General features: G+C 53.7%; 1 long non-coding RNA gene and 1 pseudogene across 1 annotated transcript in view; one reads left to right on the forward strand and one right to left on the reverse strand.

Moving 5' to 3' along the window:
* Positions 982-4,758, forward strand: CICP3 (capicua transcriptional repressor pseudogene 3; annotated as a pseudogene).
* Positions 4,695-13,924, reverse strand: part of LOC100288069 (uncharacterized) — a 52,876-nt gene continuing 43,646 nt past the window's right edge. Inside the window, exons 16-20 of the long non-coding RNA NR_168328.1 lie at positions 12,243-12,300; positions 11,917-12,149; positions 10,953-11,143; positions 8,834-8,891; positions 4,695-8,740 (exon numbers count right to left, since the gene is read on the reverse strand). This is a non-coding gene — a long non-coding RNA (uncharacterized LOC100288069). The remainder of the gene's footprint in view (positions 8,741-8,833; positions 8,892-10,952; positions 11,144-11,916; positions 12,150-12,242; positions 12,301-13,924) is intronic.

Here is a 13,924-nt window from a genome sequence, read left to right on the forward strand (position 1 = left end):
TGTCCAACATGACAAAGCCCCATCTCTACTAAAAATACAAAAATTAGCCGGGTGTGGTGGCACACACCTGTAGTCCCAGCTACTTAGGAGGCTGAGGCAGGAGAATCGCTTGAACCCAGGAGGCGGAGGTTGGAGTGCAATGTGAGCCGAGACCACACATTACACTCCAGCCTGGGTGACAGAGCATGACTCTGTCTCAAAAAGAAAAAAAAAAGAGACAGAGAAAAGAAAGCCAACAAGACACCATTAAGCAAACCATTGTCAGGTTATGGGAGTTTGAGAAGGAAAGTAGAGAAAGGAGAATAAAGCTTATTTAAAGAATGGCTGACAACTGCCTAAATCATGGGAAAGATTTAGACATCTAAATCCATGAAGCTTAAAGATTCCTAAAGAGGTTCAAACCAAATAGATACTCACCAAGTCACAATATAATCAAATAGTCAAAAGTTAAAGAAACTTTGCAGGTCAGGACAGAATCGAATAATACATTCAAAGTGCTGAAAGAAAAAAACTGCCAGCAACTAATACTATGTCTGACAAAGCTGTCCTTCAGAAAGGAAAAAGAAATAACGTGTTTCCTCGACAAACAAAGCTGAGGGCATTCAGGACCACTAGGTCTACCTTAAAAAAATGCTTAACGGAGTTTTTCAAGTAAAAATGAATGAAGTTGGGAGCGGTAGCTCATGCCTGTAATCCCATTTTGGGAGGCTGAGGTGGGTGGATCACCTGAGGTCGGGAGGTCAAGACCAGCCTGGCCAACATGGCAAAACCCCACCTCCAGTAAAAATACAAAAAATTAGCCAGGTATGAAGGCCACTGAGATCGTGCCACTGCACTCCAGCCTGGGTGACAAGAGTCAAACTACATTTCAAAAACAAAAAACAAAACAAACAAAAAAAACAAAACTTGAGGCCTGGCCTTCTGCTCCTCTCCAACCTCCCCTTCTCTGGGCCCAAGCCACCTTGGCTGAGGAGGGGGCGAGGAGGTGTGAGCCCCTGCCAGGAACCCCCTGCCCGGACCAAGTGCTCGGCCCCCAGGCCTGCGTTCAGTGAGGCCTCCCGTGGCGTCAGCATGTTCGTGTGGAGGAATGTGGAAGGTCACTCTTCGGCCGTGTTCTCCTGGTACTCCATCCCCTTCCTGACCCCTCCCTGCAGCCACACGAGGCCCAGCAACCTGCCAGTCACTCAGAGTCTCTGGCCTCCAACCAGAGAAAACAACCTGCCAAGTTGGCAGCCGTTGCTCATGAGCGTCCACCAAGTGGGACAGGGAGTGTTGACCCTGGGCGGCCCCCTGGAGCCACCTGCCCTGAAAGCCCAGGGCCCGCAACCCCACACACTTTGGGGGTGGTGGAACCTGGTAAAAGCTCACCTCCCACCATGGAGGAGGAGCCCTGGGCCCCTCAGGGGAGTCCCTGCTGGACAGTGAGACAGAGAATGACCATGATGATGCTTTCCTCTCCATCATGTCTCCTGACACCCAGTTGCCTCTACCACTCAGATGATGTCAGGCCCAGTCCCTCAGTGCCCTGCGCAAGGAAAAGGACTCATCTTCTGAGAAGGATGGACGCAGCCCCAACAAATCAGACAAGGACCACATCCGGTGGCCCATGAGTGGCGCTCATGATCTTCAGCAGGCGGCACCAGGCCCTGGCGGGGCGCACCAGGGTCACCCCAACCAGGATAACCGGACCGTCAGCCAGATGCTGAGCGAGCGGTGGTACACCCTGGGGCCCAATGAGATGCAGAAATACAACCTGGCCTTCCAGGTGAAGGTGGCCCACTTGCAACAAGGACCGAAAGAAGTCCAGCTCAGAGGCCAAGCCCACAAGCCAGGGGCTAGCAGGAGTGTAACAAGGGCTCGTGGGAGCGGAGCATATCAGAGACGGGCACTGCCACTGCCCCTGGGGTGTCCTCTGAACTCCTGTCAGTTGCAGCCCAAACACTCCAGAGCTCGGATACCAAGGAGCAGCTTCTATGGGGCAGAACGGCTGCACACAGTCAGGGAACCTGGCTCAGCCTGGCCCAAGCCTTCTCCCACAGCGGGGTACACAGCCTGGACGGCAGGGAAATAGACCGTCAGGCACTACGGGAACTGACACAGGTGGTGTCTGGCACTGCATCATACTCTGGCCCAAAGCCTTCTACTCAGCATGGAGCTCCAGGCCACTTTGCAGCCCCTGGTGAGGGAGGTGACCCGTGGGCAGCCCTGCTGCCGCCCACGTGAGCTGCTCATTCCCAGCACATGGCCAGCGAGGTCATAGCGAGTGACGAGGAGCACACGGTCATCCATGAGGAGGAGGGGGTGATGATGTCATTGCTGATGATGGCTTTAGCACCACCGACACCGATCTCAAGTTCAAGGAGTGGGTGACCGACTGAGAGTGGGGACAACTCTGGGGAGGAGCCAGAGGGCAACAAGGGCTTTGGTGGGAAGGTATTTGCACCTGTCATTCCTTCCTCCTTTACTCCTGCCGCCCCTTGCTGGATCCTGAGCCCCCAGGGTCCCCCGATCCACCTGCAGCTTTTGGCAGTCTATGGTCACACCCTGTCCTCCTCCTACACATACTCGGATGCTTCCTCCTCAACCTTGGCACCCACCTCCTTCTTACTGGGCCCAGGAGCCTTCAAAGCCCAGGAGTCTGGTCAACGCAGCAGAGCGGGCCCCCTACGGCCCCAACCCCTGGGGATGGGGGCCCAGGGACGCCTTCCAAGGTGGCCTGTTTCCTCCCAATGGATCCTGCCACCTTCTGGTGCAAGAGACCTGAAAGTGTGGGTGACCTGGAGCTACCAGGCTCCTCAGTCATCAGGGTCCCTCCCAACACTAAGGCTTTCCTAGGCAGGAGCTGGGCTGAGCCACCCGGGGGGCAGAGCCTGAAGAGAAACTGACTGGGCTTTCGGGGTCGGGGCAGAGGGAACCCCACGGACATGGATCCCACACTGGAGGACCCCACCGCGCCCAAATGCAAGATGAGAAGATGCTCCAGCTGCAGTCCAAAGCCCAACACCCCCAAGTGTGCCATGTGTGATGGGGACAGCTTCCCCTTTGCCTGTACAGGTGGAGAAGCCGAGGACAGGCTCAGGGAACCGGAGACCGAGAAGGCGCTGTCCTCTTCACTGCACGTACCCTGGACCAGTGCCGGCCCTGATCATGCAGCTCTTCCAGGCCCACTGCTTCTTCCTGTCCACTAGGCCACAGCCGCCCTCCAGGCCCACTATGCACACATCTTCCCCTCCAAGGTTTGTTCTGCCCCTGCCCTGACTCCCAGCCCTGTGGGGGTCCTGACCGCACCTCACCTGGCTCAGACTCTTGACGCTGCCCTGGCTGCCCCACCACTGCTTCTGCCCGAGAGTCACGTGAGGCTGAGAGTAGGGGCAGGGGCAGCAGTGGTGCCAGTTGGGGGGCGGTCCAGTGGGAGGAGCCTCAGCCTCGCAGGCTGCTCCGTGGGACTGATGACTGCATGATCTTCTGGGCACCTCACGGATCTTCAACTGCAGGTGAAACGGATGCTGGTGGTGGGTGCAGGGCCGCTGGGAGCTGCTGCATGGTTCCCAGAGGCTGGACTGAGGCAGGTGCCAACTGAAGCTGCTGGGGCAGCATGGGCAGGATGTTCTGCACACAAACCTTGGAGAAGAAGATGTGTGCATAGCAGGTCCACTGCTGCTGCCCCTGCCCTGACTCCCAGCCCTGCCTGACCCCACCTCAACCTGCTCAGGCTCTGGCACAACCCTGGCTGCCCTGCCACTGCCTCTGCCCCAGAGTTGGGGCCTTGACAGCCTGGTTGGAAGGGGACACCCCAGCCCTGCCTCAACACCTGGGGGTCTCCATAACTACCACAGGCAGGTGGGCAACCCCAAAGATCCCAGGACTCACAGTACCCCCTGAGAACATGGACAGTATGTGGGGGTAGCAATGGAGGGCAGGATGGTTATCTTCTCCCAGGTGAAGCCATTTAATCCTTTCAGTTTGGGACGGAGTAAGGCCTTCCTCTTTTTTTTTTTTTTTTTTTTTTTTTTTTTGAGACCGAGTCTTGCTCTGTCGCCCAGGCTGGAGTGCAGTGGTGCGATCTTGGCTCACTGCAACCTCTTCCCGCCGGGTTCACGCCATTCTCCTGCCTCAGCCTTCCGGGTAGCTAGGATTACAGGTGGACGCTACCACGTCCGGCTAATTTTTGTATTTTTAGTACAGACGGGGCTTCATCATCTTGGCCAGGCTGATTTCGATCTCCTGACATCGTGATCTGCCTGCCTCCCCCTCCCAAAGTGCTGGGATTACAGGCGTGAGCCACCACGCCTGGCCAAGGCCTGCTCCTCTTATCTATACCCCCTACCCCTGCAGCTGTGCCGGGGGAAAGCTGGGCAGTTTCCCTCCTCCGAGCCCCTGTACATACCATGAATTGTGGGACCTTCAGAGCTTTTCACTTTTCGGAAAATAGCTCCTGCTGGGGCTACAAGATGGAGTGTGAAGAGGGCCTTGGGCCACAGGGAGGCGCCTGTGGACTAGGGGGAGTTCATGCACCCCTTCTTTCCCCAGAGGGGCTGGACTCAGGTGAGTATGGGGGTGGGGGCTCCTGCACTTCGACACAGGCAGCGGGAGGGTTTTCTCCCCATTCCCTCTGCACTCCCAACTTGAGCTATACTTTTTAAGAAAGTGATTCACCCTGCCTTTGCCCCCTTCCCCAGAACAGAACACGTTGATCGTGGGCGATATTTTTCATTGTGCCAAAAAGTTGCCATGACCGTCATTAAACCTGTTTAACACCAAATAATAAGGAAAATAAAATAAAAAATTCGGGCTTGGCGCAGAAACTCACTCCAAATAAATTACCTATCAAAATATTTACATAATGGTGGAAATATTCCAAAATTCAATATTTTGGGATTTATACACAAAAGATAAACAAATTAGAGGCCAAGAGGCTGCCGGAAGGGAAAAACGGGGCCTGGAATGGCCGACGTGAGGAATGAGCTGGGCCTAAAGAGGCCACTGGCAGGCAGGAGCTGGACCTGCCGAAGTGGCCGAAAGGCAGGAGCTTTGGACTGGGGAGGCCGCAGTGAGGCGAGAGCTAGCTGGGCGTGGAGAGTCTGCTGTGAGGCCGAGGCCGAGGCCGGGCCCGTGCAGGCCTTCGAGAGGCAGGAGGCCGGGCCTGCAAAGGCCGACTGGAGATCAAGTTCTGCGCCTGAAGAGGCTGCCAAAAGTCAAAAGCGGGGCCTGGGAAGGCCGCCGAGAGCCATGAGCTGGGCTGGGCCGAAAGAGGCCACTGGGAGGCAGGAGGAGCTGGGCCTGGAGAGGCTGACTCGAGGAAGTTTTGCACCTGGAGAGGCCGTCGAGAGGACGGAGCTGGGCCCAGGGAGGCCGACTTGCTGCTCTTCCAGGCCCACTTCCAGGCCGACTTGAGGACGACTTGGGCCTGCAGAGGCCGCCGGGAGGCTGGAGCTAAGCCTGGAGAGACTGACTTCGGGACGATTTGGGCCTGCAGAGGCCGCCGGGAGGCCCAAGCTGGGCCTAGAGGAGCCCACCGACCGGAGGCCATTTGGGGCCTGCAGATGTCATCGGAGGGCCAGGAGCTGAGCCTGGAGAGGCCACCGCGAGGCCTGAGCTGGGCCTGGGGAGCTTGGCTTAGGGAAGTTGTGGGCCTACCAGGGCCGCTGGGAGCTGGGCAGGAGCTGAGTCCAAAGACGTTGTTGGGACCTGGAGTCGGGCCAGAGTCCGGCCTGGAGATGCAGCCGGGAGGAAGAGCTGGGCCCGGAGGGGGCGCCGGGAGGCTGCAAGTGGGTCTGAGAGGCCAACTTGAGGAGGCCTGGCCTCTGCCTCCCGCATTGCCCAGCTGTTCCTCCTGGCTGCATCTCCCACCTCCCAGCAAACAAGCTCTTTTGGCTCAGCTCCCGCCTGCGTTTGTAGACCCCGAAGTTTCTGCAACCAAGCTCTTCAGACCCACATCCCTTCTCCCAGTGACTGAACAGTCCCAGCTCCGGCTGGAGAAGGGCGTCTGCAGACCCCGCTGTTGCCTCCCAGGGGAGTCTCCAGGCCCAGCTCTCGCCCCACCGCGACCTCCCAGGCCCAAGTCCCTGCCTACCTCCCAGCAGCCCGAGTGCGATCCTGTTCCTCCCTCACGGTGGCCTGTTGAGGCAGGGGATCACGCTGACCTCTGTCCGCGTGGGAGGGGCCGGTGTGAGGCAAGGGCTCACATTGACCTCTCTCAGCGTGGGAGGGGCCGGTGTGAGACAAGGGGCTCACGCTGACCTCTGTCCGCGTGGGAGGGGCCGGTGTGAGGCAAGGGCTCACACTGACCTCTCTCAGCGTGGGAGGAGCCAGTGTGAGGCAGGGGCTCACGCCTCTGGGCAGGGTGCCAGAGGCATGAGTTGGGCATCAACAGGCCACCGTGAGGGAGGAGCTGGGCCGCACGCGGGCTGCTGGGAGGCAGGCAGGGACTTGGCCCCGGGAGGCCGCCGTGGGGGCAAGAGCTGGGCCTGGAGAGGCCCCTGGGAGGCAAGGGAGGGGCCTGCAGAGGCTGTTCTCCAACCAGTGCTAGAACTGTACAGGCCACCAGGAGGCAGGAGGTGGGCCCTCAGAGCTTGGCTGGAGAAAGTTCGGGGCCTACAAAGGCGGTTGGGAGCTGGGCAGGAGTTGAGCCAAAAGAGCTTGCTTACTTGCTGGGAGGCAGGGCCGGGAGAGCCTGACTTCAGGACAACTTGGGCCTGCGGCGGTCGCCGGGAGGCCCAACCTTGGCGTGGAGGAGCCCACCGACCGGAGACCATTTGGGGCCTGGAGATGCCATCGGAGGGCAGGAGCTCATCCTGGAGAGGCCACCGTGAGGCCTGACCTGGGCCTGGGGAGCTTGGCTTGAGGAAGCTGTGGGCCGACCAAGGCCGCCAGGAGATGGGTAGGCACTGAGTCCAAAGAGGTTGTTGAGAGGCAGGAATCGGGCCTGGAGACCCAACCAGGAAGAAGAGCTGGGCCCGGAGAGAACGCCCGGAGGGTGCAAGTGGGTCTGGAGAGGCCGACTTGAGGAGGTTCTGGGCCCGGAGAGGCCGCCGGAAGGGAAAAACTGGGCCTGGAAAGGCTGTTGTCAGGAATGAGCCCCATGGGCCTGAAGAGGCCACTGGCAGGCGGGAGCTGGGCCTGCCGAAGCGGCCGAGAGGCAGGAGCTTTGGACTCGGGAGGCCGCAGTGAAGCAACAGCTAGCTGGGCGTGGAGAGTCCGCTGTGAGGCAGAGGCTGGGCCTGTGCAGGCCTTCGGGAGGCAGGAGGCTGGGCCTTGTCGAGGCCTGCAGAGGCCACCGAAAGTCAAAAGCGGGGCTTGGGAAGGCCGCCGGGAGGCATGAGCTGGGCTGGGCCGAAAGAGGCCACTGGGAGGCAGGAGGAGCTGGGCCTGGAGAGGCTGCCGAAAGGCAGGAGCTTCGCCTGAGGATGCCACAGTGAGACACCATCTGGGTCTGGAGGGTCCACTGTGAGGCAGAGGCTGACCTGTAGAGTCCGACAGTAGACAGAAGTTGGGCAAAAGCCTGATTTGAGGAAGTTTTGGGCTTCAAGAGTCAGCCACGAGGCAGGCACTAGGCCTGGAAATGGACTCACAGTCATGAGTTGGGCCTAAATGGGCCACTGTGAGGGAGGAGCTGTGCCTGTTGAGGCTGCTGGCAGGCAGGCAGAAATTTGGCCTGGGGCAGCTGCCATGAGGCAAGAGCTGGGCCTGGAAAAAGCCCCTGGGAGGCAAGAGCAGGGCCTGCAGAGGCTGTTCTCAAGTCAAAGCTGGGCCTGTTGATGCCACCGGGAAGCAGAAGGTGGGCCTGGAGAGTTTGACTTGAGGAAGTTTTGGGCCTACATTGGCCGCCATGAGCTGGACAGGAACTGGGCCAAAAAAGGCTGTTGTGAGGCAGCAGTTGTGCCTGTAGACCCAGCCAAGAGGAAGAGGTGGGCCTGGAGAAGCCCCCATGAGGCAGAGGTTGGGCCTGTAGACGCTGACAGGAGGCAGGAGCTGGGCCTGGACAGGTCAACTTGAGGAGATTTTGGGCCTTCATAGGCCACCAGGAGGCAGCAGTTGGGACTAGAGAGTCTGACTTGAGTAAGTTTTGGGCCCGGAGATGACGTCCTGGGACAGGAGTTGGGCGTGGAGAGGCCACCGTGAGGCATAAGCTGGATGTAGAGAGGCCAGTGTGAGGCAAGACCTGGGCCTGTCTAGGCTGCTGGGAGACAGGCAGGAATCTGGCCAGGGAAGGTTGCCATGAGACAAAAGTTGGGCCTGGAAAGGCCCTTGTGAAGCATGAGCTTGGCCTAAAGAGGCCACTGGGTGGCAGGAGCTAGGTGTGTAGAAGCTGCTGAAAGGTTGGGAGCTTGGCTTGGGGGGTCCACAGTGAGGTAGATGCTGGGCGTGAAGAATCTGCTGTGAGGCAGACTTTGGGACTGTAGAGGCTGACGGGAGGCAGAGGCTGGGCCTGGAGGGGCCACCAAGATGCAGGAGCTGGGCCTGGAGAGGCTGCAAAGAAGCATGAGCTGGGCCTGGTGAGGTCGACTTGAGAAAGTTCAGGGCCTGGAGAGAAGGCTGGGAGGCAGGAGCTGGGTCTAAAGAGGCCATTGTAACGATGGAGCTGTGCCTGTGGAGGCTGTTGTGAGGCAGTAGCCTCATCTGCGGAGGCTGCCGTGACATAGGGTATGGGCCTAAATAGGCCATTGTGAGTCATGAGCTTGGTCTGTAGAGGCTGACTGGAGAAAGTTCTGGGCCTGGAGAGGCTGCCGGGAGGTAGGAGCTGGGCCAAAAGATGTAAGCACATTTGCATTTATTAGGCACTTTATTTCCATTATTACACTGTAATATATAATAAAATAATTATAGAACTCACCATAATGTAGAATTAGTGGGCGTGTTAAGCTTGTTTTCCTGCAACTGAATGGTCCCACCTGAGCGTGATGGGAGAAAGTGACAGATCAATAGGTATTAGATTCTCATAAGGACAGCGCAACCTCGATCCCTCACATGCACGGTTCACAACAGGGTGCGTTCTCCTATGAGCATCTAATGCTGCTGCTCATCTGAGAAGGTGGAGCTCAGGTGGGAATGTGAGCAAAGGGGAGTGGCTCTAAATACAGACGAAGCTTCCCTCACTCCCTCACTCGACACCGCTCACCTCCTGCTGTGTGGCTCCTTGCGGCTCCATGGCTCAGGGGTTGGGGACCCCTGCTCAAGTGCATCCAAAGCGACCCTTCCCACACCAGTCTTCACAGTGGTCAAGGGCAGCAACCACTTAGCTCCCAAGGCATGTGCCTCAGCTGGCATTTCGTCACAATCAACAGTAAGTGGTAGCTTGAGTCACTGTGAGGTCACCTACTGGAAATCACCAGCACCCCATTTCCCACTGGCAAAGAGCTCAGCACTGCCCCCTGGGAAACCAAACCTATGCCCAAATCCCATCTGTGTGGGTCTACCTCCTGGGACCCTTCCTAACATATTAGTCAGAGTCCAATCAGGAAGCATAAACCACTCAAAAGTTTAAAGTGGTAAAATTTAATACAGAGAATTATTCATTATAACAGGTGAACAGCATAATGAGAGATTGGCTAGCACAGAGTAAAGAGAACTCTAGAGAATATGGGACTAGCCCAGGCCAGGCATGGTGGCTCATGCCTGAAATTCCAGCCATTACAGAAGCTAATGCAGGAGGATTGCTTAAGGCCAGGAGCTAGAGACCGGTCTGGACGACACAGTGAGACCCTGTCTCTATCCAAAAGAAGAAAAAAGTTAGCTGGGGGTGGTGGTGCACACTTGTAGTCCCAGCTACTCAGAATGCTGAAGTTTGAGCCTGGGAGGTCAAGGCTGCAGTGAGGCATGATTATGCCACTACAGTCCAGCCGGATGACAGAGCAAGACCCTGTCTCAAAGAACAAAACCACAACAACCATTTACAGACAGAAAAGAAATAGAGCTAATAAGCTGAGGAAAGATGTTGAAATGTGACAAGTAAAGTAATATGAGGTCTTTTGTCTATTTAAAATAATCAAACAAAAAATGGCTTACGAAATTATAATACCCTGTGCTGGCAAAGGTGCAGTGAAATGGGCACTTTCTTATACTATGAGGGGTGGTTAAATTGTGTATAAGCCTTCCAGGGTAAAGCCTGTCAATTTTTTAAAATAATGGAGACAGGGTCTCACCATACTGCCATACTGCCTCCTCCAACTCTTGGCCTCAAGCAATCCTCCTCTCTTAGCCTCCCAAAGTGCTAAGATTATAGCTGGGAGGCACCCAAAACCCTGTCAATTTACATCAAGGGTAAGGAGAATGTCCATTCACCATGACTCACAGTAATCTTACTTCTGGGGAGACAATTCAATCTAAGCAAAAGGTCATCTGTACACACACAGTAAAAATCTGGGAGTAACTGAAGACAGAGTTGGTAAGTGAAATAAGAAACAGTTATAAGAAATTAAACTATGGTATCAATAGGCACCTGGTAAAAGGTCAGTTGATGTTAGCTGCTACTTTTTTGTTGTTTTGAGACAGGGTCTCACTCTGTCACCCAGGCTGGAGTGCAGAGGCCTGATCATGACTCACTGCAGTCTCAGCCTCCCTGGGCTCAAGTGATCCTCCCACCTCAGCCTCCCAAGTAGCTGGGACTACAGGAACATGCCACCACACTAGGCTAATTCATGTATTTTTCTGTAGGGATGGTGACTCCCCCTTTGTTTCCAAGGCCTATCGCAAACTCTTGGCCTCGAGCCATCCTCCTGCCTCAGCCTCCCAAAGTGTTGTGATTACCAGTGTGAGCCACCACACCTGGCCAGCTGCTACTTTTATCAATATTATTCTTATTCCACTCAATTAAAAATTATTATTTTCAAGGCTATGCAACAGTATGTATCCTACAGCGTAATTGTAAAAACATACACAGTCGTCATCCCTCAGTATACAGAATTAGTTCCAGCCCCCCATCTCTGCATATACCAAAATCCATGCTTACTCACGTTTCGCTGTCACCCCTCTAGAATCCACGTATACGAAAATTCCAAATGTTAGTTGGGCATAGTGGCAAGCACCTGTAGTCTCAGCCACGTGGGAGGTTGAGGTGGGAGGATCGCTTCAGCCTGGAAGGTTGAGGCTGCAGTCAGCTGCGATAGCACTACTACACTCCAGCCTTGGACAACAGAGGGAGACCCTGTCTCAGAAAAAAAAACAAAATAAAACAGGTTAGAAATTGTAATGAGGTCTGCTGGGCAAAATTCCATATAAGCAATGTATAAATTAATAAAGCAAATCGTGATAAATTAGTACGATTGACTTTCTGGAGTTTCTGACAATAAAAGTAAGGAAAATGCAGAACACAAAGACAGAGAGTAAAAAGAGAAATTAGGAAAGCATTCTACATGTTGAATAGGAAGACACTGGCCATGTTCGTGCAGCGGCAGTATGTCGTGACATGACATACCTTGGAGAGAAGTTAACAGATGAGGAAGTTGATAAAAATCATCAGAGAAGCAAAATACTGGTAGCGACACTCAAGTAAACCATGAAATTTCCATAACTTATGTCAGCAAAGTGGGAATATTGTACAGTGTGTGTTGAAGTTCCTATACAACATTGTTTATCTGCCTTTTGTTTGTTTGTAAGGAATGTACATACTAAAAGTTCTTCTTGCTGTCAAAAGAATATGCGTGAATAAGTCATTTTAACTTATTCTTCTGTTTTTCTTTTATCTTCCTGCCATCATCCCACAGCCTTACTTTAGAAATTTCTTTTTTAGAAAATTGAACAAGTGCTCCCTGTGGTGGCACATACCTCGAGGATGGGAGGCAGGGGTGGAAGGGTCACTTGAGGCCATTAGTTTGACACCAGCCTGGCCAACAAAGTGAGACCCCGTGTCTACAAAACAATTTAAAAATTAGCCAAGTATCGTCATGTATACCTACAGTCCCAGCTATCTGAACTTACTGAGAATGTTCAGGGCCTGGAGAGAAGGCTGGGAGGCAGGAGCTGGGTCTAAAGAGGCCATTGTAACGATGGAGCTGTGCCTGTGGAGGCTGTTGTGAGGCAGTAGGCTCATCTGCGGAGGCTGCCGTGACGTAGGGTATGGGCCTAAATAGGCCATTGTGAGTCATGAGCTTGGTCTGTAGAGGCTGACTGGAGAAAGTTCTGGGCCTGGAGAGGCTGCCGGGAGGTAGGAGCTGGGCCAAAAGATGTAAGCACATTTGCATTTATTAGGCACTTTATTTGCATTATTACACTGTAATATATAATAAAATAATTATAGAACTCACCATAATGTAGAATCAGTGGGCGTGTTAAGCTTGTTTTCCTGCAACTGGATGGTCCCACCTGAGCGTGATGGGAGAAAGTGACAGATCAATAGGTATTAGATTCTCATAAGGACAGCGCAACCTAGATCCCTCACATGCACGGTTCACAACAGGGTGCGTTCTCCTATGAGAATCTAACGCTGCTGCTCATCTGAGAAGGTGGAGCTCAGGCGGGAATGTGAGCAAAGGGGAGTGGCTGTAAATACAGACGAAGCTTCCCTCACTCCCTCACTCGACACCGCTCACCTCCTGCTGTGTGGCTCCTTGCGGCTCCATGGCTCAGGGGTTGGGGACCCCTGCTCAAGTGCATCCAAAGCGACCCTTCCCACACCAGTCTTCACAGTGGTCAAGGGCAGCAACCACTTAGCTCCCAAGGCATGTGCCTCAGCTGGCATTTCGTCACAATCAACAGTAAGTGGTAGCTTGAGTCACTGTGAGGTCACCTACTGGAAATCACCAGCATCCCATTTCCCACTGGCAAAGAGCTCAGCACTGCCCCCGGGAAACCAAACCTATGCCCAAATCCCATCTGTGTGGGTGTATCTCCTGGGACCCTTCCTAACATATTAGTCAGAGTCCAATCAGGAAGCATAAACCACTCAAAAGTTTAAAGTGGTAAAATTTAATACAGAGAATTATTCATTATAACAGGTGAACAGCATAATGAGAGATTGGCTAGCACAAAGTAAACAGAACTCTAGAGAATATAGGACTAGCCCAGGCCAGGCATGGTGGCTCAGGCCTGAAATTCCAGCAATTTGAGAAGCTAATGCAGGAGGATTGCTTAAGGCCAGGAGCTAGAGACCGGTCTGGACGACACAGTGAGACCCTGTCTCTATCCAAAAGAAGAAAAAAGTTAGCTGGGGGTGGTAGTGCACACTTGTAGTCCCAGCTACTCGGAATGCGGAAGTTTGAGCCTGGGAGGTCAAGGCTGCAGTGAGGCATGATTATGCCACTACAGTCCAGCCTGGTGACAGAGCAAGACCCTGTCTCAAAGAACAAAACAACAACAACCATTTACAGACAGAAAAGAAATAGAGCTAATAAGCTGAGGAAAGATGTTGAAATGTGACAAGTAAAGTAATATGAGTTCTTTTGTCTATGTAAAATAATCAAACAAAAAATGACTTACTAAATTATAATACCCTGTGCTGGCAAAGGTGCAGTGAAATGGGCACCTTCTTATACTATGAGGGGTGTTTAAATTGTGTATAAGCCTTCCCGGGTAAAGCCTGTCAATTTTTTAAAATAATGGAGACAGGGTCTCACCATACTGCCATACTGCCTCCTCCAACTCTTGGCCTCAAGCAATCCTCCTCTCTTAGCCTCCCAAAGTGCTAAGATTATAGCTGGGAGGCACCCAAAACCCTGTCAATTTACATCAAGGGTAAGGAGAATGTCCATTCACCATGACTCACAGTAATCTTACTTCTGGGGAGACAATTCAATCTAAGCAAAAGGTCATCTGTACACACACAGTAAAAATCTGGGAGTAACTGAAGACAGAGTTGGTAAGTGAAATAAGAAACAGTTATAAGAAATTAAACTATGGTATCAATAGGCACCTGGTAAAAGGTCAGTTGATGTTAGCTGCTACTTTTTTGTTGTTTTGAGACAGGGTCTCACTCTGTCACCCAGGCTGG

This window comes from Homo sapiens, chromosome 1, assembly GCF_000001405.40.
Source record: "Homo sapiens chromosome 1, GRCh38.p14 Primary Assembly".
Lineage (NCBI taxonomy): Eukaryota > Metazoa > Chordata > Mammalia > Primates > Hominidae > Homo > Homo sapiens.